The sequence below is a fragment of the Homo sapiens genome, chromosome 12 (genome assembly GCF_000001405.40).
Source record: "Homo sapiens chromosome 12, GRCh38.p14 Primary Assembly".
Classification (NCBI taxonomy): Eukaryota; Metazoa; Chordata; class Mammalia; order Primates; family Hominidae; genus Homo; species Homo sapiens.
Window position 1 is genome coordinate 64,845,652 of NC_000012.12, and position 21,595 is coordinate 64,867,246.

At 41.3% G+C, this 21,595-nt stretch overlaps 1 protein-coding gene across 14 annotated transcripts in view, besides 2 other annotated features; it reads left to right on the plus strand.

Moving 5' to 3' along the window:
• Window positions 1–21,595, plus strand: part of TBC1D30 (TBC1 domain family member 30) — a 121,550-nt gene that overhangs the window by 86,168 nt on the left and 13,787 nt on the right. For all 14 annotated transcript variants that reach the window (XM_047428595.1, XM_047428596.1, XM_024448903.2 and 11 more), the window contains 2 exons: window positions 19,017–19,129; window positions 21,113–21,252. In XM_047428595.1, the coding sequence (XP_047284551.1) occupies window positions 19,017–19,129; window positions 21,113–21,252 (253 nt within the window). The remainder of the gene's footprint in view (window positions 1–19,016; window positions 19,130–21,112; window positions 21,253–21,595) is intronic.
• Window positions 12,970–13,471: an enhancer, noted in NCBI's record as "H3K4me1 hESC enhancer chr12:65252401-65252902 (GRCh37/hg19 assembly coordinates)". NCBI's record gives its function as "activates a minimal SCP1, AML or CMV promoter by ChIP-STARR-seq in primed H9 embryonic stem cells {active_cell/tissue: H9 hESC(primed)}" and the evidence as "EXISTENCE:reporter gene assay evidence [ECO:0000049][PMID:30033119]".
• Window positions 13,472–13,971: an enhancer, noted in NCBI's record as "H3K4me1 hESC enhancer chr12:65252903-65253402 (GRCh37/hg19 assembly coordinates)". NCBI's record gives its function as "activates a minimal SCP1, AML or CMV promoter by ChIP-STARR-seq in primed H9 embryonic stem cells {active_cell/tissue: H9 hESC(primed)}" and the evidence as "EXISTENCE:reporter gene assay evidence [ECO:0000049][PMID:30033119]".

Below are 21,595 nucleotides of genomic sequence, written 5' to 3' on the forward strand. Positions count from 1 at the left end.
GGAGGCAGAGCTTGCAGTGAGCCGAGATCGTGCCACTGTACTCCAGCCTGGGCAACAAGAGTGAGACTCCGTCTCAAAAAAAAAAAAAAAAAATCGCTCCTGGGTTCAAGCGATTCTCGTGCCTCAGCCTCCCGAGTAGCTGGAACTATAGGTGTTTGCCACCATGCCAGGCTAATTTTTGTATTTTTAGTAGAGATGGGGTTTCGCCATATTGGCCAGGCTGGTCTCAAACTCCTGACATCAAGTGATCCTCCCGCCGAGCTTGGCCTCCCAAAATGCTGGGATTATAGGCGTGAGCCACCGTGCCTGGCCTTGAGCACCTTTTCATAAGCCTGTTCGTCATTTGTATATCTTCTTTTGAGAAATGGCTATTCAGATCTTTTGCCCATTTTTAATCGAATTATAAGATTATAAGAGTTATTTGAGCTACTTGAATATTCTGGTTATTAATCCCTTTTCAGATGAGTAGTTTGCAAATATTTTCTCCCACTCTTTGAGTTGTCTCTTTATGTTGTTGATTGTTTTCTTTGCTGTGCAGGAGCTTTTTAACTTTATATGATCCCATTTGTCCATTTTGCTTTGGGTGTCTGTGCTCATGGGGTATTACTCAAGAAATTTTTGCCCACTCCAATGTTTTGTAGAGTTTTTCCAATGTTTTATTGTATTAGTTTCATAGTTTGAGGTCTTAGATTTGAGTTTTTAATCCATTTTGATTGATTTTTGTATATGGCAAGAGATAGGGGTCTAGTTTTGTTCTTCTGTGTATGGATGTCTAGTTTTCCTAGCACTATTTATTGAAGAGATTGTCTTTTCCCCAATGTGTGTTCTTGGCACCTTTGCCGATAATGAGTTCACTGTAGATATGTGGATTTGTTTCTGGGTTCTCTGTTCTGTTCCATAGGTCTATGTGTCTGTTTTTATGCCATGCTGTTTGGGTTACTATAATAGTAGTATAATTTGAAGTCAAATAATGTGATTCCTCCAGTTTTGTTCTTTTTGCTCGGAATAGCTTTGACTGTTCTGGGTCTTCTGTGGTTCCATATAAATGTTAGGATTACTTTTCTATTTCTGTAAAGAATGTCATTGGTATTTTGATAGAGATTGTATCAAATCTGTAGATTGCCTTAGGTAGTATGGACATTTTAACAATATTGATTCTTGCAATCCATGAACATGTTGTATCTTCCCATTTTTTTGTGTCCTCTTCAATTTCTTTCATTAATGTTTTATGGTTGTCATTGTAGAGCTCTTTCATTTCTTTGGTTAACTTAATTCCTAGGTAGTTAATTTTATTTGTTGCTATTATAAATGGGATTTTAAAATTTCTTTTTCAGATTGTTCACTGTTTGCATATAGAGATGCTAGTGATTTTTCTTTACTGGGAGATTTTTTATTATGGCTTCAGTCTTGTTACTTGTTATTGGTGTGTTCAGGTTTTGGATTCCTTCATTTTTCAATCTTGGTAGGTTGTATGTGTCTAGGAATTTATCCATTTTCTCTAGATTTTCTGATTTATTGGTATACAGTTGCTCATAGCAGTCACTAATGATCCTTTGATTTTCTGTGGTATCAGTTGTAATGTCTCCTTTTTCATCTCTGAGTTTGTTTATTTGGATCTTCTCTCTTTTTTTCTTAGTCTGGCTACAGGTGTTTCAGTTTTATATATCTTTTCAAAAAAACCAACTTTTCATTTCTTTAATCTTTTGTATGGTTTTTTCATTCAATTTCATTTATTTCTGCTCTGATCTTTATTGTTTCTTCTACTAATTTTGGGTTGGGTTTGCTCTTGTTTTTCTAGTGCTTTAATATATGTCATTACATTATTTATTTGACGTTTTTCTTGTTTTTTGATGTAGGCACTTATAGCTATAAATTTCCCTCTTAGTACTGCTTTCACTGTGACCCCATAGGTTTTAGTATGTTGTATTTTTATTATTATTAGTTTCAAGAACATTTTCAGTTTCCTTTTTAGTTTCTTCATTGACCCACTGGTCACTCAAGAGCATATTGTTTAATTTGTATGTGTTCGTATAGTTTGCAAAATTCCTCTTGTTATTGATTTGTAGTTTTATTCCATTGTGGTCAGAGAAGATACTTGATACTGTTTCAATTTTTTGAATATTTTAAGACTTGTTTTGTGACCTAACATATGATCTATCCTTGAGAACGATCCATATGCTGAAGAGAAAAATGTGTATTCTACAGGTGTTGGATGAAATGTTCTGTAAATATCTACTAGGTCCATTTGTTCTATAGTACAGATTAAATTTGATGATTTTTTTTGTTGATTTTGTGTCTGGGTGATCTGTCCAATGCCGAAAGTAGGGTATTGAAATCTCTAGCCGTCACTGTGCTTGGGTCTATCTCTCTCTTTAGCTCTAATAATATTTACTTTATTATATCTGGGTGCTCCAGTGTTGGGTGCATATATATTTATAATCATTATATCCTCTTGCTGAATTGACCCCTTTATCATTACATAATGACCTTCTTTGTCTCTTCTTAATTTTTGTCTTGAAATCTATTTTTTCTGATGGAAGTATAGCTACTCCTGCTCCTTTTTTGCTTTCCATTGGCATGGAATAACTTTTTCCATCCCTTCATTTTCAGTCTATGTGTATCTTTTTTTTTTCTTTAGTATACTTTAAGTTCTGGGATACACGTGCAGAATGTGCAGGTTTGTTACATAGGTATATATGTGCCGTGGTGGTTTGTGGCCCCCATCAACCTGTCATCGATGTTAGGTATTTCTCCTAATGCTATCCCTCCCTTAGCCCCATACCCCGCGACAGGCCCCGGTATGTGATGTTCCCCTCCCTGTGTCCATGTGTTCTCATTGTTCAGCTCCCACTTATAAGTGAGAACCTGTGGTGTTTGGTTTTCTGCTCCTGTGTTACTTTGCTGAGAATGATGGTTTCCAGCTTCGTCCATGTCCCTGCAAAGGACATGAACTCACCCTTTTTTATGGCTGCATAGTATTCCATGGTGTATATGTGCTACATTTTCTTTATCCAGTCTATCATTGATGGGAATTTGGGTTGGTTCCAAGTCTTTGCTATTGTGAATAGTGCTGCAGTAAATGTAAGTGTGCATGTGTCTTTATGGTAGAATGATTTACAATCCTTTGGGTATATACCCAGTAATGGGATTGCTGGGTCAAACGGTATTTCTGGTTCTAGATCCTTCAGGAATTGCCACACTGTCTTCCACAATGGTTGAACTAATTTACACTCCCACCAACAGTGTAAAAGCATTCCTATTTCTCCACATCCTCTCCAGCATCTGTTGTTTCCTGACTTTTTAATGATTGCCATTCTAACTGGTGTGAGATGGTATCTCATTGTGGTTTTGATTTGCATTTCTTTAATGACCAGTGATGATGAGCTTTCTTTCATATGTTTGTTGGCTGCATAAGTGTCTTCTTTTGAGAAGTGTCTGTTCATATCCTTTGCCCACTTTTTGATGGGTTTTTTTGTGTTTTTCTTGTAAATTCATTTAAGTTCCTTGTAGATTCTGGATATTAGCCCTTTGTCAAATGGATAGATTACAAAAGTTTTCTCCTATTCTGTAGGTTGCCTGTTTGCTCTAATGATAGGTTCTTTTGCTGTGCAGAAGCTCTTTAGTTTAATTAGATCCCATTTGTCTATTTTGGCTTTTGTGGCCATTGCTTTTTGTGTTTTAGTCATGAAGTCTTTGCCGATGTCTGTGTCATGAATGGTATCACCTAGGTTTTCTTCTAGGGTTTTTATGGTTTTAGGTCTTACGTTTAAGTCTTTAATCCATCTTGAGTTAATTTTTGTAGAAGGTGTAAGGAAGGAATCCAGTTTGTTTTCTGCATGTGACTAGCCAGTTTTCCCAACACCATTTATAAATAGGGAATCCTTTCCCCATTGCTCGTTTGTGTCAGGTTTTTCAAAGATCAGATGGTTGTAGATGTGTGGTGTTATTTCTGAGGCCTCTGTTCTGTTCCATTGGTTTATATATTTGTTTTGGTACCAATACCATGCTGTTTTGGTTACTGTAGCCTTGTAGTATAGTTTGAAGTCGGGGTAGTGTGATGCCTCAAGCTTGTTCTTTTTGCTTAGGAGTGTCTTGGCTATATGGGCTCTTTTTTGGTTCCATATGAAATTTAAAGTAGTTTTTTCTAATTCTGTGAAGAAAGTCAATGGTAACTTGATGGGGATAGCATTGAATCTGTAAATTACTTTGGGCAGTATGACCATTATCATGATATTGATTCTTCCTATCCATGAGCATGGAATGTTTTTCCATTTGTTTGTGCCCTGTCTTATTCCTTGAGCAGTGATTTGTAGTTCTCCTTGAAGAGGTCCTTCACATCCCTTGTAAGTTGTATTTCTAGGTATTTAATTCTCTTTGTAGCAATTGTGAATGGGAGTTCACTCATGATTTGGCTCTCTGTTTGTCTGTTACTGGTGTAGAGGAATGCTTGTGATTTTTGCACATTGATTTTATATCCTGACACTTTGTTGAAGTTGCTTATCAGCTTAAGGAGATTTTGGGCTGAGATGATGGGGTTTTCTAAATATACAATTGTGTCATCTGCAAACAGAAACAATTTGACTTCCTCTCTTCCTATTTGAATACTGTTTATTTCTTTTTCTTGCCTGATTGCCCTGGCCAGAACTTCTAATACTGTGTTGAATAGGAGTGATGAGAGAGGGTATCCTTGTCTTGTGCCAGTTTTCAAAGGGAATGCTGCTTCCAGCTTTTGCCCATTCAGTATGATATTGGCTGTGGGTTTGTCATAAATAGCTCTTATTATTTTGAGATACATTCCATCAATACCTAGTTTATTGAGTGTTTTTAGCATGGAGCGGTGTTGAATTTTGTCGAAGGCCTTTTCTGCATCTGTTGAGATAATTGTGGTTTTTGTCATTGGTCCTGTTTATGTGATGGATTACGTTTATTGATTTGCATATATTGAACCAGCCTTGCATCCCAGAGATAAGGCCAACTTGACTGTGGTGGGTAAGCTTTTTGATGTGCTGCTGGATTTGGTTTGCCAGTATTTTATTGAGGATTTTTGCATCGATGTTCATTGGGGATATTGGCCTGAAATTTTCTTTTTTTGTTGTGTCTCTGCCAGGTTTTCATATGAGGATGATGCTGGTCTCATAAAATGAGTTAGGGAGGAGTCCCTCTTTTTCTATTGATTGGAATAGTTTCAGAAGGAATGGTACCAGCTCCTCTTTGTACCTCTAGTAGAATTTGGCTGTGAATCCATCTGATCCTGGGCTTTCTTTGGTTGGTAGGCTATTACTGCCTCAATTTCAGAACTTGTTATTGGTCTATTCAGGGATTTGACTTCTTCCTGGTTTAGACTTAGGAGGGTGTATGTGTCCTGGAATTTATTCATTTCTTCTAGATTTTCTAGTTTATTTGCCTAGGGGTGTTTATAGTATTCTCTGATGGTAGTTTGTGTTTCTGCGGGATCAGTGATGATATTTCCTGTATCATTTTTTATTGTGTCTATTTGATTCTTCTCTCTTTTCTTCTTTATTAGTCTGGCTAGCGGTCTGTCTATTTTGTTAATCTTTTCAAAAAACCACCTCCTGGATTCATTGATTTTTTTTGAAGGGTTTTTCATGTCTCTATCTCCTTCAGTTCCACTCTGATCCTCATTTTATGAGTTCAGCATCATCCTCATACCAAAACCTGGCAGAGACACAACAAAAAAAGAAAATTTCAGGCCAATATCCCATTTGCTTGGTAAATCTTCCTCCATCCCTTTATTTTGAGCCTATGTAGTCTTTGCACGTGAGATGGGTCTTCTGAGTACAGCACACCGATGGGTCTTGACTCTTTATCCAGTTTGCCAGTCTGTGTCTTTTAATTGGGGCATTTAGCCCATTTACATTTAAGATTAATATTGTTATGTGTGAATTAGATCATTATGATGCTAGCTGGTTATTTTGCTCATTAGGTGATGCAGTTTCTTCATAGTGTTGTTGGTCTTTACAATTTGGTATGTTTTTACAGTGGTTGGTACCAGTTTTTCCTTTCCATATTTAGTGCTCCCTTAAGGGGCTCTTGTGAGGCAGGCCTGGTGGTAACAAAATCTCTCAGCATTTGCTTGTCTGGGATTTTATTTCTCCTTTGCTTATGAAACTTAGTTTGGCTGGATGTGAGATTCTGGGCTGAATATTCTTTTCTTTAAGAAAATTGAATATTGGCCTTCACTCTTTTCTGGCTTGTAGGGTTTCTGCAGAGAGATCCACTGTTAGTCTGATGGGCTTCCCTTTGTGGGTAAACCGACCTTTCTTTGGCTGCCCTTAACATTTTTTCCTTCATTTCAACCTTGGTGAATCTGACGATTATGTGTCTTGGGGTTGCTCTTCTCGAGGAGTATCTTTGTGGTGTTCTCGTATTTCCTGAATTTGAATGTTGGCCTGTCTTGCTAGATTGGGGAAGTTCTCCTGGGTAATATCTTGAAGAGTGTTTTCCAACTCAGTTCCATTCTTCCCGTCACTTTCAGGTACACCACTCAAATGTAGGTTTGGTCTTTTTACATAGTCCCATATTTCTTAGAGGCTTTGTTTGTTCCTTTTCATTCTTTTTTCTCTAATCTTATCTTCGTGCTTTATTTAGTCTCTGATATCCTTTCTTCCGCTTGATCAGTTTGGCTATTGACACTTGTGTATACTTCACAAAGTTCTTGTGCTGTGTTTTTCAGCTCCATCAGGTCATTTATGTTCTTCTCTAAACTGGTTATTCTAGTTAGCAATTCCTCTAACCTTTCTTCAAGGTTCTTAGCTTCATGGTTCTTTAGCTCAGAGGAGTTTATTATTACCCACCTTCTGAAGCCTACTTCTGTCAATTCGTCAAACTCATTCTCTGTCTAGTTTTGTTCCCTTGCTGGTGAGGAGTTGTGATCCTTTGGAGAAAAAGAGGCGTTCTGGTTTTTGGTATTTTCGGTCTTTTTGCGCTGGTTTTCCCTCATTTTCATGGATTTATCTATCTTTGGTCTTTGATGTCAGTGACCTTCGGATGGGGTTTTTGTGTGGACATCCTTTTTGTTGATGTTGATGCTATTCCTTTCTGTTTGTTAGTTTTCTTTCTAACAGTCAGGCCTCTCTGCTGCATGTCTGCTGGAGTTTGTTGGAGGTCCACTCCAGACCCTGTTTTCCTGGGTATCACCAGTGAAGGCTACAGAACAGCAAAGATTGCTGCCTGTTCCTTCCTCTGGAAGCTTTGTCCCAGAGGGGCACCTGCCAGATGCCAGCCAGAGCTCTCCTCTATGAGGTGTCTGTTGACCCCTGCTGGGAGGTATATCCCAGTCAGGAGGCACGGGAGTCAGGGCCCCACTTGAGGAGGCAGTCTATCCCTTGGTAGAGCTCGAGCACTGTGCGGAGAGATCCACTGCTCTCTTCAGAGCCAGCAGGGAGGAACATTTAAGTCTGCTGAAGTTGCGCCCACAGCTGCCCCTTCCCCCAGGTGCTCTCTCCCAGGGAGATGGGAGTTTTATCTATAAGCCCCTGACTGGGGCTGCTGCCTTTCTTTCAGAGATACCCTGCCCAGAGAGGAAGAATGTAGAGAAGCACTCTAGCGACAGCGGCTTTGCCGAGCTGTGGTGGGCTCCTCCCAGTTCGAACTTCCTGGCAGCTTTCTTTACACTGTGAGAGGAAAACCACCTACTCAAGCCTCAGTAATGGTGGACGTCCCTACCCCCACCAAGCTTGAGTGTCCCAGGTTGACTTCAGACTGCTGTGCTGGCAGCAAGAATTTCAAGCCAGTGGATCTTAGTTTGCTGGGCTCCATGGGGATGGGATCCACTGAGCTAGACCACTTGGCTCCCTGGCTTCAGCCCCCTTTCCAGAGGAGTGAACAGTTCTGTCTTGCTGATGTTCTAGGCACCACTGGGGTATGAAAAAAAAACTCCTGCAGCTAGCTCAATGTCTGCCCAAATGGCTGCCCAGTTTTGTGGTTGAAACCCAGGGCCCTGGTGGTGTAGGCACCCGAGGGAATCTCCTGGTCTGTGGGTTGTGAAGACCATGGGAAAAGCATAGTATCTGGGCCAGAATGCATCATTCCTCATGGCACAATCCCTCAAGGCTTCCCTTTGCTAGGGGAGGGAGTTTCCCAACCCCTTGTGTTTCCTGGGTGAGGTGATGCCCCACCCTGCTTCAGCTTACCCTCCGTGGGCTGCACCCATTTTCTAACCAGTCTCAGTGAGATGAACGGGGTATCTCAGTTGGAAATGCAGAAATCACCCACCTTCCGCATTGATCTTGCTGGGAGCTGCAGACTGGAGCTGTTTCTATTCAGCCATCTTGCCAGCTACCTGAGTCTATATGTATCTTTACAGGTGAAGTGTGTTTCTTGTAGGAAACGGATCATTGGGTCCTATTTTTTCATCCATTCAGCCACTCTGTGTCTTTTGATTGGAGAATTTAGTGGATTTACATTCAGTGTTATTGATAAGTAAAGCCTTACCCCTGCCATTTTGTTATTTGTTTTCTGGTGGTTTTGTGGGCTTCTCTTTCTTCTTTCCTTCGTTTCTGTCTTCCTTTTTTGTGAAGGTGATTTTTCTCTGGTGGTGTGCTTTAATTTCTTGCTTTTTATTTTTTGTGTATTGTATGTTTTTTGATTTGAGGTTACCACGACACTGGCACATACTATCTTAAACCTATTATTTTAAACTGATGGCAACGTAACACTGGTTGCATAAGTAAACATGCAAAAAGAAAACTAATAAAAACTCCATACTTTAACTTTGTCCCTCTGCTTTTTAACTCCTTGTTGTTTCTCTTTATGTACTGTCTATGTCTTAAAAAGTTGTTCTAGTTATTATTTATTGGTTCAGCATTTAGTCTTTCTTTTTCTTTCTTTTTTTTTTTTTTGAGATGGAATCTTGCTCTGTCACCCAGGCTGGAATGCAGTGGCATGATCTCAGCTCACTGCAAGCTCCGTCTCCCAGGTTCATGCCATTCTCCTGCCTCAGCCTCCTGAGTAGCTGGGACTATAGGCGCCTGCCACCACACCCAACTAATTTTTTTGTATTGTTAGTAGAGACAGGGTTTCACCGTGTTAGCCAGGATGGTCTCGCTCTCCTGACCTTGTGATCCACCTGCCTTGGCCTCCCAAAGTGCTGGGATTACAGGTGTGAGCCACCGCGCCTGGCCATCATTTAGTCTTTCTACTTAGGTCAAGAGGAGTTAATATACCACAATTACAGTGTTATCCTAAATTTGTGTTTTTCTGTGTGCTTACTATTACCAGTGAGTTTTTTACCCTCACATGCTTTCTTCTTGCTCATTAACATCCTTTTCTTTCAGATTGAAGAACTCTCTTTAGCATTTCTTATAGGACAGGTCTAGTGTTGATGAAATCCCTCAGCTTTTGTTTGTCTAGGAAGGTCTTTATTCTTCCTTTATGCTTAAAGATATTTTAGCTGGATATACTTACTATGCTAGGGTAGAAGTTTTTTTTTCTTTTGGCAGTTTGAATATGTCATGCCACTCTCTCCTGGTTATGCCACTCTCTCCTGGCCTGTAAGATTTCCACTGAGAAGTCTGTTGCAAGACATATTGGAGCTCCATTGTATGTTACTCATTTTTTTTTTCTTGCTACTTTTAGGATCATTTCTTTACCCTTGACCTTTGAGAGTTTGATTGTAAAACGCCTTGAGGGAGTCTTCTTTGGGTTAAATCTGTTGGTGTTCTATAACCTTCTTGTACTTGACTGTTGATGTACTTCTCTTGGTTTGGGAAGTTCTTTGATATTATCTCTTTGAATAAGTTTCCTATCCCTATCTCTTTCTCTAACTCCACTTTAAGGCCAATAACTGTTAGATTTGCCCTTTTGAGGCTATTTGCTAGATTCCATAGGCATACTTCATTATTTTTTATTCTTTTTTCTTTTATCTCCTCTGTGTATTTTCATATAGCCTGTCTTCAAGCTCACTAATTATTCTACTTGATCAATTCTGCTATTAAGAGACTCTGATGCATTGTTCAGCGTGTCGATTGCATTTTTCAAGTCCATAATTTCTGCTTAACTATTTCACTCTTTTTGTTAAATTTTTATGATAGAATTCTGAATTCCTTCTCTGTGTTATCTTGAATTTCTTTTGAATTCTCTGTCTAAAAGGTCATATATCTCTGTTACTCCAGGATTGGTCCCTGGTGCTTTATTTAGTTCATTTGGTGAGGTCATGTTTTCCTGGATGGTGTTGATGCTTGTAGATGTTCTCTTGTGTCTGGACATTGAAGAGTTAGGTATTATAGTCTTCACAATCTGAGCTTGTTTGTGCCTATCCTTCTTGGGAAGGCTTTCCAGGTGTTAGGACATTCTTGCATTGCTACAAAGAAATACTTGAGACTGGATAATTTATAAAGAAAAGAAATTTAATTGGTTCATGCAGGCTGTATAAGCAGCATGACCCTGGCATCTGCTTGGCTTCTGTGGAGGCCCAGGGAGCTTTTAATCATGGCAAGGTAAAGAGGGAACAGACATGTCACATAGCCAGAGCAGGAGGAAGAGAGAGTTAGATGGGGGGGGTGGGGGCGGTGCCACACACTTTTAAACAACCAGATCTTATGTGAACTCAGAGCAAGAGCTCACTTATCACCAAGGGAATGGCTCAAGCCATTCATGAGGGATCTGCCTTCATGATCCAAACACCTCCCACCAGGCCCCACCTCCAACATTGGAGATTACAATTCAACATGAGATTTGGGTGAGAAAAATATCCAAATTATCACCAGGTATTAGAAGGGACTTGGGCCCCAAGCCCAATAATGCTGTGGTTTTTGCAGACTTGTAGAGGTACCCACCTTGGTGGTCTTTCAGAAGATCTGGAAGAATTCTCTGGATTACCAGGCAGAGACTCATTCTTTTCCTTTAATTTCTCTGAAACATGTGGAGTCTCTTTCTGTGATGAGCCCTCTGGAACTGGGAGTGTGGTGATGCAAACACCCCTGTGGCCACTACCACTGGGACTGTGTTGGGTCAGACCTGAAGTTAGCTCAGCACTGGGCCTTGCCCAAGGCCCTTCCCTTCAGGGCAGTGAGTTCCCCCCAGGCCCCAGGTGTGTCTAGAGTTTTTTTCTGGGGGCCAGGGATTGGAGTTAAAAACCTTAGAAATTTACATGATAGTCTATTCTACTGCAGCTAAGCTGACACTGAAACTACAATACAAAGTTCTTCCTGCTCTTCCCTCCCCATACCACAGGCAGAAGAGCTTCTACCTGTGGCCACCACCACCACTAGTCCATAGGGGGTTCTGCTGGGCCACTACCAATGTTTGCTTAAAGCCCAAGGGCTCTTCCATCAGCTTATGGTGAATGCTGTGAGACCTGGGAGTCACCCTTCAGGGCAGTGGGCTCCCCACTGCCCCAGGGCAGGTCCAGAAATGCTGTCCAAGAGCCTGGGCCTGGACTCAGAGACCCCAAGAGCCTGCTTGTTGCTCTACTCTACTGTGGCTGAGCTGGTATCTAGGGTGCAAGACAAAGTCCCCTTTACTTTTCCCTCTGTTTTTCTCAAACAGATGAGTCTTTCACCATAGCCACCACAGCTGGAAATATGCTGGGTCTCCCCTGAAACCAGCATGTCTCAGAGCTCGGGCCCATGGCATACTCCCTGGATATTGCTGGTTGTTATTCAGGGTCCAAGGACTCTTTAGTCGGCAGGTGATGAATCCTGCAAGTGTTGAGTCCTTCCCTTTAAGGCAGGGGTTCTCTTTTGGCCCAGGGTGTGGCTGGAAATGTCATTTGGGAGCTAGGGCCTGGAATAGGGGCCTCATGACTCTGCCTGGTGCCCTATCCTGTTGTGGCTGAGCTGCTATCCAAGATGCAAGACAAAGTCCTCTTTACTCTTCATTCTCCTCTCCTTAAGCAGAAGGAAGGAGTCACTTTCATTGCTATGAGCTGCACTGCCTGGGGTTGGGGGAGGGATGGCGCAAGCCCTCCCATAGCCAAACCAGCTTGTGTCTCCCTAGGTCATGTGCCACCCTAGTTTACTGGCTCTAAGCCCAGCCTAGCACTAGGAGTTGCCTAGGAATTGCAGTCCTTGTGTCCTAGTCTGCTGTTCAGGTTTACCTAGGACCCCAGAGCACTTTGGCCTGCACTGGCGAGGCTTGCTGAGGAACTCGAGTTCCAACAGCTAGATGGGCGATTCCCCACTGGCTAGGTCTGGTTCAAATGCCCCCTCTGTGTGTGAATGCTGAGTGAGCCCAGCACAACTTTGCTCTCCATTGTGGCAGAGCAGCACTGAGTTCAATGTAAAGTCCTCTAGTCACTGCACTCTCCCATCCCCAAGTGCACAGACTCTTTCTCCATGTCTTATGGCCACTGCCAGGGGATTGGGGAGGGGTGGCATCCATGACTCAAGACTGTCTCTCCTTCCCTTCTCAATGCCTCTTTCCATGATATGGAGTTCAAATCAGATATTGTGATTATTCACCTAATTTTTGGTTCTTGTTATCGTGCTTCTCTGTGTACAGATAGTTGTTAAAATTTGGTGTTGCAGCAGGGGGCATGAATGGTGTAAGCTTCCATTCTGCCATCTTGTCTGCCGCCCACCCTCCATTCCCACCAAACTTACTAATTCATTAAACAAACATTTATTGAGAATCCATGGTTAGTTTTCTGCCTTTTCTTTTTCAATAAATGTTGAATTAAACCCAACTTGTAGATGATGGCTGTCTTTCTAGATTCCGTCTGCTCTAATACAGAATGAGTCTTTTACCGTAGCCACTACAGCTGGGAATATGCTGGATCTCCCCTGAAGCCAGCATGTCTCAGAGCTCAGGGCCCATGGCATACTCCCTGGATATTTCTGGTTGTTATTCAGGGTCTTTAGTCAGCAGGTGATGAATCCTACCAGTGCTGGGTCCTTCCCTTTAAGGCAGTGGGGTTCCCTTTTGGCCCAGGGTGTGGCTAGAAATGTCATCTGGGAGCTAGGGCCTGGAATAGGGGCCCAGCATTTTGCTACCAGAGTAATGATCCATACTTACTGCTTTGGTCATTTCCTTGCTCTACACTAAGTCCTTCAGCACTTCCTTGTTACTAACCACGGTAAATAAAATGCTTCAGCCTGATTTTCTATGCTGTATATTAACTTCTCCAAATATTTATCGAGCACCTCTAATGTCAGGTAATGTGCCAGGTGCAGGGACACAGAAGAAAGCATGGGCTATGTCATCGGGAGCCTATAGTCTCCTAGAGCACAGTGTGGGGAGTGCGTCGAGGGAGGTGTGCAGAGGGGCTGGGGGCTGAGGAAGAGAGAAGACCTCATCTAGCCTGAGGGGCAGGGGTGGAGTGAGTTGGAGGAGAGGAATTTAGGAAAGCCTTTCTTGAGGGAATTCATGTCTGGTTTTACCTTTACAGAAGAATAGGATTTGACTAGGCTGTGTGTGTGTGTGTGTGTGTCTGTGTGTCTGTGTGGAGGGGTGCATATATATGCGAGGGTGTTGTGTGTGTGTGTGTGTGGAGGGGTGCACATATATGCGAGGGTGTTGTGTGTGCGTTTGTGTGTTGAAGGCTCTGGTGCAGAGTGGAGAGTCAATTTGTGTTTGAGAGAGCAGCATGTGTCAAGGTCTGTTGATAATATACTGCATAAGTGTGAGGGGGACTGTCAGAAGGCTGGAATTCAGGGACTGGCTCATGAAAGACCACAATGCCTGGTAAGGCACTTGGACTTGATGTTTCAGGTCAGTGATTGAGAGATTGTATTTGCTGGAGTTCTAAGGCTTCTGTGGACCCTTTGGAAAGGGGAATAGAAGATCTGTGGACCTGAAAGATTTTAAGGAGAGGAGGAAAATGGTTTGAGTTTTGTTTTGAGTCAACTCCACGGGCAGCTCTGTGAAGGATGGATTTCAAAGGGACAAGTCTGACAGCAGGAAGGCCTGTGAGGAGGCAGTGAAGGGTGGAAACAGATTGGAACAGAGACAGTACTTACAAGGTGAAATTGACTGGACTTGGCCATGGAAAAGGGATACAGGAGTGAAAGAAAAAGTAATGGGGGAGAAAGGGCAACCCATAATCTCCTGGCTTAGAAGGAAGAGGGCAAGTTTCTGAGGGGAGGAGGATGGGTTCATTTTCAGATAGGTTGCTTTGGAGGTGTACTTGGACTGCCCCATTCCTGACCTATCCAAGGTGTTCCTGCTATTTCACAGACAGACTCTATGGCACTGGTCATAGCTCTGCTCCCATCCAGGCCTCTGTAGGCCATTGCTTATTCTGCAACAGGTCTTGTGGTCCCTCTGATGCTGCATCTGTGAAAATCCTATTTGCCCATCTGGATGCCGCTCAATCTCCTCTCTTTCCCACTCCCAGAGCCTCTGTTATTTCAGGACTCATGGATGATGGTTCCTCTGTACTCCTCCAGTACTAAAGATTCTTCTTCTTTTTTTTTTTTTTTTTTAAAACATGGTCTCACTTTGTCACATAGACTGGAGTGCAGTGGCATGAACATGGCTCACTGCAGTCTTGACTTCCTGGGCTCAAGCGATTCTCCCACCTCAGCCCCCCAAGTAACTGAGTCTACAGGCATGTGCCACCAGGCTGGGCTAATTTTTAAATTTTTTGTAGAGATGGGGTTTCACCATGTTGCCCAGGCTGGTTTTGAACTCCTGGGCTCAAGCAGTCCTCACTCCTCAGCCCTGAAAGTAGCTGGGACTACAGGTGCATGCCACCATGCTTGGCTAATTTTTTTTAATGTATTTTAGAGATGGAATTTTGCCATGTTTCCCAGGCTGGTCTTGAACTCCTGGGCCTCAGGCGAGGCCTGCCTTGGCCTCCCAAAGTGTTGGGATTACAGGCATGAGCTACTGCACCCGCTGCTTTTAAAGTATATTACTTTTTTTTTTTCTGTAAGTAGCAAGTTCCTTAATGTTACGGGCTTCAGCAACATCTAGCCTAGTGTGAATAATACAACTGGTTACTCAGTGAATACACAGAATCATGAAATGTTAGATCTTGAGGCTGTGGTTTTCAAACTGGACTGTGTAAGAAACATCCAGGAGTGTATGAAAATGCAGACATTTGGCCCATGGGTGGTTCTGATACAGGTGGTTTTCAGAAAACAAAGAAACACTGGCTTTAAAGAAACTTAAAGATCAGTTAAGCTAATTCTGTCATGTTAGAGAGAGGAAACTATGAGTTGGAGTGTGAGCAACTTGTTGGTTTCTCAGATTGTCTAGTGGCAGACCCAAGACTGCCTCCAGGTCCCTGACTCCTAGCTGAATGCTTTTCCTCACCACCCAACACACTGCTTCCACCTATTCAAAAGATGTCTTTCTAAAAGCTGAAATCATCTTTAGAAGAATAAGGCAACATCTCATTTCGCTTACAGTTTAAACGTTGCCAGAAGGAATGAGATGTGTTGGATGCCATCTTTGTCCTCTAGGAATTTCCAATCTTAGGTATTAGGAGAAGGAACCACTTTGACACTGCTTAAAGCAGAAGAATCCTAGAGGGAGAACTGTAGGCTGTGGATTGATTGATGGGATTCCATTTGAGTAGCATCCCTCCTGTCGAGGAAAACATCTGCGTGAAGATGAACTAAGCCTAATTTTGTGCAACTCATGTTTTCATATTTCTTGTAAAGCATATCAATAATTACAAAATATAATGTCTTTTCAGTGACTAAATATAAATGTCTATTTAAGTGTATGTTGGTAGTTCAGATAGTAAATAGACTTGTTAGTTTTCCTTGACATCATAGAATGTTCAGGAGAGAAATGGTGAATGTCATTTCAGGCCATTTTCTTTCCTATATTCATTCATTTTTTTTTAATTTAGTGCTGTCAGCAAACCCAAAATAGTGCCAGATGAAAAATGTGGGCTGAATGTAAGGTCTTTATTTTTGAGCCGAAGAGATGAAAGCATTCTCCCCTTTCAGTCTTTCCCTTTTCTTTCTGTTCTAAGTGCCATACTGAAAATCATATGCTGGGGTTTCCCCCTTGTAGATCACTGTTTTCTTATTAGCAATGGTCATTTTCATGTTTGTTTGATTTTTTTTTAATTGATAGGGTAAAGAAACTGGAGGAATGCTGATTACATAATGTACCTGGATATCAGTAGGATTTTTGACAATGCCTCTTGTAAATTCCTTGAGGGCAGTGTAGAGATAAATTAGTTAAGATGCTATTATTAGGGTTTATAGGTGCTTGGGAAGCCTAACCCAAAGTGTTTGTGACTGACTTCCTGTTGTCTGGTGGGAGATCTTATGTACTGAGAGGCAGGACTTTCCTTTGCACCCACTCTGTTCACTTTTTTCCATAAGTGATGGGGTGGAAATTACAAGGGTATGGATACTTGTTCAATACAAGGATCATGTTTGATGAATTAAATTGAAACCGTCTGTCCTGCAAAACTGTGTGTGCCCATAACTGAAAGTGCTTAAGTTGTGCCTTTGTGGCCATCTGTTGGAGATGCTCTAGAAGGGACTCCTACTTGGGAGGGAGGTGGAACTAATATGTTTGAATTCTTTTCTAACCCTGTGATTCTATTACTGTACCATATTTTGGCTCTAAGATGATTAGTCAAATCTCTTTCTTGGAATCTGTTGTAAATCTCCGACTTACCAAGGTGGAGGCCTAAAGATTTCCGACACCCTGAGTGCTATGTCGGTGTGCCAGGGATGCTTATGCTCCTGGGATAAACATGCCTTCAGATGTGAGACCTTAAAGTAAGTGAGTGAATATTTGGGAAGAACTACTATAAACAACTTTGTTTCAGGAATACTGATTTGTTCTTTGAAGGACTTACTAAAAGTCAGTGACAGAGAAAGGAAGACATGAAGTAGAGGATGAAAGTGCAATGGAGCTAGTTTTCTTTTTGGTCAGGTGTCTTTAGCTGAGTGGCCCCTGAGGGATCTTGCTCAGAGCCTAGACCATCATCCCTGGGGCAGGGCAGGGTGCAGTAGGGGGAGGATGTACTTCCCTGTTCCTCTTATGAACTTCCTTCACAAGGCTGGATGAGGGAATTTACTGATACCTTGTTACAAAACTGGCAAAAATTAAACACAGGTGAAACATTAGCTCATCATCCTACTTATTGTCTTTAATAAGACATCTTATTTCACTTGTAAGGAATTTTGAAATTCTTAGCATCAAAAATCTCATCTTTTAAAGTTGAATCCAAAGGACATGGGTTTCTTAAATGTCTGAACACATTTCTAAACTGTTAGGGAGGAAAAAAAATTACATGAATGAGGGTTGATTCTTGGCCCAGCTGTGGGATCACATTTGATATGTGATGGTCAGATAGAGTTAGGGCAATGCAGCTCCTACCCAGCCCCTAGAGAAGGTGCTGTGCTCTGGATTGGCTGCTGAGGAGAGGATTTCACATCTCTTGCCTTCCCTCAAAAGGGTATGTGGAGCTAAGACATGATAGTAAGAGCAAGCGGGGAAGAATTCTGCAGTGGCAGCGAGGTAGCTGTTGCATAGCTTTGTGGGATCAAAGGACATGAGAGTGCTTCTGACTACATTATTAATAAAATTATATGAAATATTTTGGGCATATAGGATGTATTAAGAATAATACAATAAAATCTACATATCCCCCACCCAATTTAAGAAATAAAAATTAACAACCACGGGAAAACACCCTCATATAACTTCTCCCTGATCTTATTCCCATCTCTCCTCTCAGAGGTAACCACGATCCTGAGTTTCACACCCTTTATTTTTTAAATGAGGAAAAGGAAGCCCAGAGAGGTGGGGAACTGGTTTAATTTCACACTCAAGGCTAGTGAGAGCCACAAGATGCCTTCTGCTTCTTTTCTTGGGGCACAGTTTATTGTTAGTAAACCTGTACTCCTTCTCAGCCTTTTGGGTATAATCAAGTCTGGAGTGTCTATGATAAGACAGCTTAGAGATTATGTTTGCAGTCCCTATAAGCTGTGTAGCTTTGCACAGTAAGCGTGGAGAATTGAAGAGAAGGAATTTTAGCCAACACCTACTTGTTTGGAATCTTGGGCTGGTACAGTAAAGTATAAAGGGATACCATGACATCTGGGGACAGTCAGATGTACAGGTTGTTAGAATAAAATTACAGGGGACTGTCACAATGGTGGCACTAAGCTATAAAATGAAGAAGCATCACAATCAAACTCCTTTCACAGCCTTCCTTTTGGCACATGCCAAATTAGACATCTTCTAAGCCTTCATAAAAACAGTCCTGCTGAAATAAAAAATACCTTTTTAAAATATTTTCCTAGGAAAGCATTATCAGGCTATTTCTTTGGCTTCCCAGGAGAAATGAACATGTGATTGATATATGTTTTCTGGTGAATAAGAACCAGGATTGAAGAAACATGTTTGGAGCTATTAAATTTTAATAAAAATAAGAAAGCAAACAATATTACTCTTTTATTGCTGATAGAATGATACATAATTTTGAAATTCTGGTGGAAGCACAGGTGCTTTTCCCCATTTTTATTTATAGAGTTATAACAGCCTAGGCTTTACACCCTGTCACTTTTTTCTTGTCTTTTTTTTTTTCCTTTAAAAACACCACCTAACAATTTTCACCTAGAACTCATCCACAGACATTTAAAAAGGTGGTATCTTTGGAGAAAACTTGTAGTCGATCACAAGATCATCCACTAGATTTAATTTTATCCAGAAGGCTGACCTGACATTAAATGTCTAAAAATCATCTAACAGAGCTGTGAAAAGTAAGCACTACATAGGAAGGACATTTGTGAGTTCTTTGATACAGAAGACATAGGGAGCTGTGGATTTCTGCATTAATCCATTTATTGAACAACAGGAGGAAATCAGACTGCCCGTGATTGCCCACCCTTGTTTACCAGTTGGAATGCCCAGCTGCAGCTGGGTTGATTTGAGAGCCCACTGGGTCGGGTTTAATCATCTTCTTTTGTCTGTCTTGAAAGCGGATGTTGAAGTGGAATCTCTCCACCTGCTGTGTAAGGAGCAGTATCTGCCTCTTCACACTCGACTTCATAAAACTTTAATGTCTTTCCAGGATTGATAAGAGTTGTGAAGGCTACTGTTTCAGACTTGGCATTTTTGCTTTTGTTTTACAGACTGTTTATTCCATGGCTCCGTTCCCTTTCCCACAATTGGCAGAGTTGAGGGAAAAATACACCTACAACATTACACCGTTCCCAGCCACAGTTAAACCCACCTCAGTTTCTGGGTAAGGTTTTTAAATTCCTTGTTGTTTTCATGATGGAGGACTTAATATCTTAATTTGTTATTGTAAATTAATATTTATGAAGCCCCAGAGATATGTTAAAGTAAGTTGACACTTAGAATCTAATGTCCCTTTCCAAATGGTTTTGATTTAAACTCAAGAGAGATTTTTAAAAGTGTACTTTGCAGAGAAATTTGGAACGTAAACTGAAGAGAGATTTAGCAACCCCACAACTTATCTAATGATATCAAGCATTAAAAATCTCAATAGTTAAAATAGTGTGGAACCTGTATACAAGTACACAGATGAGCTAATTTAAAAACTGTGAAGACCAAAAATTGACAATTGATAAAGAGTTTATCATATGAAAAATAGGCATATTGAATCAATGGTGAAAAGTTATACTGTTTGGTAAATGGTGATGGGCTAATGAGAACTAATTTGGAAAGAAAATGAGAGTCAGACCTCATACTAGATGCCAGGGTAAATTCCATATGGATGAATGTGTTAAATAGAAACAATGAAATAATAAAATTAGCATAAGAAAATGTGGAAGAATTCCTTTAGTTCTTTGGAATTGGAAAGGCCTTAATAACTGACTCAAAATTTAAAAAAAGGGAAAAAATTAAGTCCTTTAAATATAATTTTCTGGGTGACCCAAATGGAACAAAACCAAACCTCTATAAGTAGACTCAAAAATATCTGTGGAAGGATATTTTTAACTTACTATGCAAAATAGGGATGGATATTGCTAATATGTAAAATTCCTAGAAATCGATAAGAAAATGGCCACCCAAGCTGGGTGTGGTGGCTCACGCCCGTAATCCTAGCACTTTGGGAAGCTGAAGCAGGAGGATCACTTGAGGCCAGGAATTCGAGACCAGCCTGGGCAACGTAGCAAGACCCTGTCTCTAAAAAAATTACAAAAATTAGCAGGGTGTGGTAGTGCATACCTGTAGTCCTAGCTACTTGGGAGGCTGAGGCAGGAGGATTGCTTGCGCCTAGGAGTTTGTAATAGTATATTATTGGAAACCACTCAAGTGTATACCATTAGCAGCCTGGCTCCACACTATGGGGCGTGTACATCCAGTAGAGCTGTAAGAAAGCATAAGGAAGCTCTGTGTATTCTTGTGTACCATGATTGTGCAGTGGTACAATCATGGCATACTGCGGCCTTAACCTTCCAGGCTCAAGTGATTTTCCCACCTTAGTCTCCTAAGTAGCTGGGACCACAGGCACGTACCACCGTGCCTGGATAATTTTTAAATTTCTTGCAGAGACAGAGTCTCGCTATGTTACCCAGTCTGGTCTTGAACTCTTGGGCTCAAGCAATCCTGCCTTAGCCTCCCAAAGTGCTGAGATTACAGGTGTGAGCCACTGTGCCCAGCCCGTAAAGATTTCTTGTATAAATAAAGGCAAGATGCAGAAGAGCATATATAGTATGCTAATAGTTATGCAAAAAGAAGAGAAAAATAAAAGCATGTAGTCATATTTGCTTATGTGTGCTCAGAGAAACTGAAGAATACATAAGAACCAGTAACAGTGATCACCTGTGGGAATTAGATGGGAGATTCTCACAAATGACCATGGTTACTAGTTTCAATGGGCAGAAGTTGGACAGAGATGGGAGGGAAACTTTATAAATCACGTCATTATATATAATTCTTTTTTTTTTTGAGACGGAGTCTTGCTCTGTCGTCGCCCAGGCTGGAATGCAGTGACGTGATTTGGCTCACTGCAACCTCCGCCTCCCGGGTTCAAGCGATTCTCTAGCCTCAGCCTCCGAAGTAGCTGGAATTACAGGTGTGCGGCACCACACCTGGCTAATTTTTATATATTTTTAGCAGAGATGGGGTTTCACAATGTTAATTATATGTAATTCTATGTTAATTATATATATGGCATTTAAACCATGTAACTGTATTATGTTTTAAAATACCATGGTTTTCTTTGTATATTTCTTTTTTGTCTTTTATGTTTTCCAAGACGACATAGTAAGGCCAGAGACAGTGATGAAGAGAATGACCCAGACGATGAGGATGCTGTCGTTAATGCAGTGGGGTGTCTTGGACCTTTTAGTGGGTTCCTGGCTCCTGAACTGCAGAAGTACCAAAAACAAATTAAAGGTAAAGAGGTGGCTCTTGATTTAGATTATCATGATGTATTGGTTTACTACAATAAGAGTGATATTGTGTCCTATAGATGCCCCAGTAACTTTCTGAACTGGTTACAACTATTAAAAGTCTTTATTAGGCTAGTCATGGTGGGTCATGCCTGTAAGCCCAGCACTTTAGGAGGCTGAGACAGCATGATCATTTGAAGCCAGGTTTTCAAGACTAGCCTGAGCAACATAGGGAGACCCAGTCTCTACCAAACAACAACAACAACATTAAAAAGTCATTACTAGGCTGGGTGTGGTGGCTCACGCTTGTAATCCCAGCACTTTGGGAGGCTGAGGCAGATGCATCA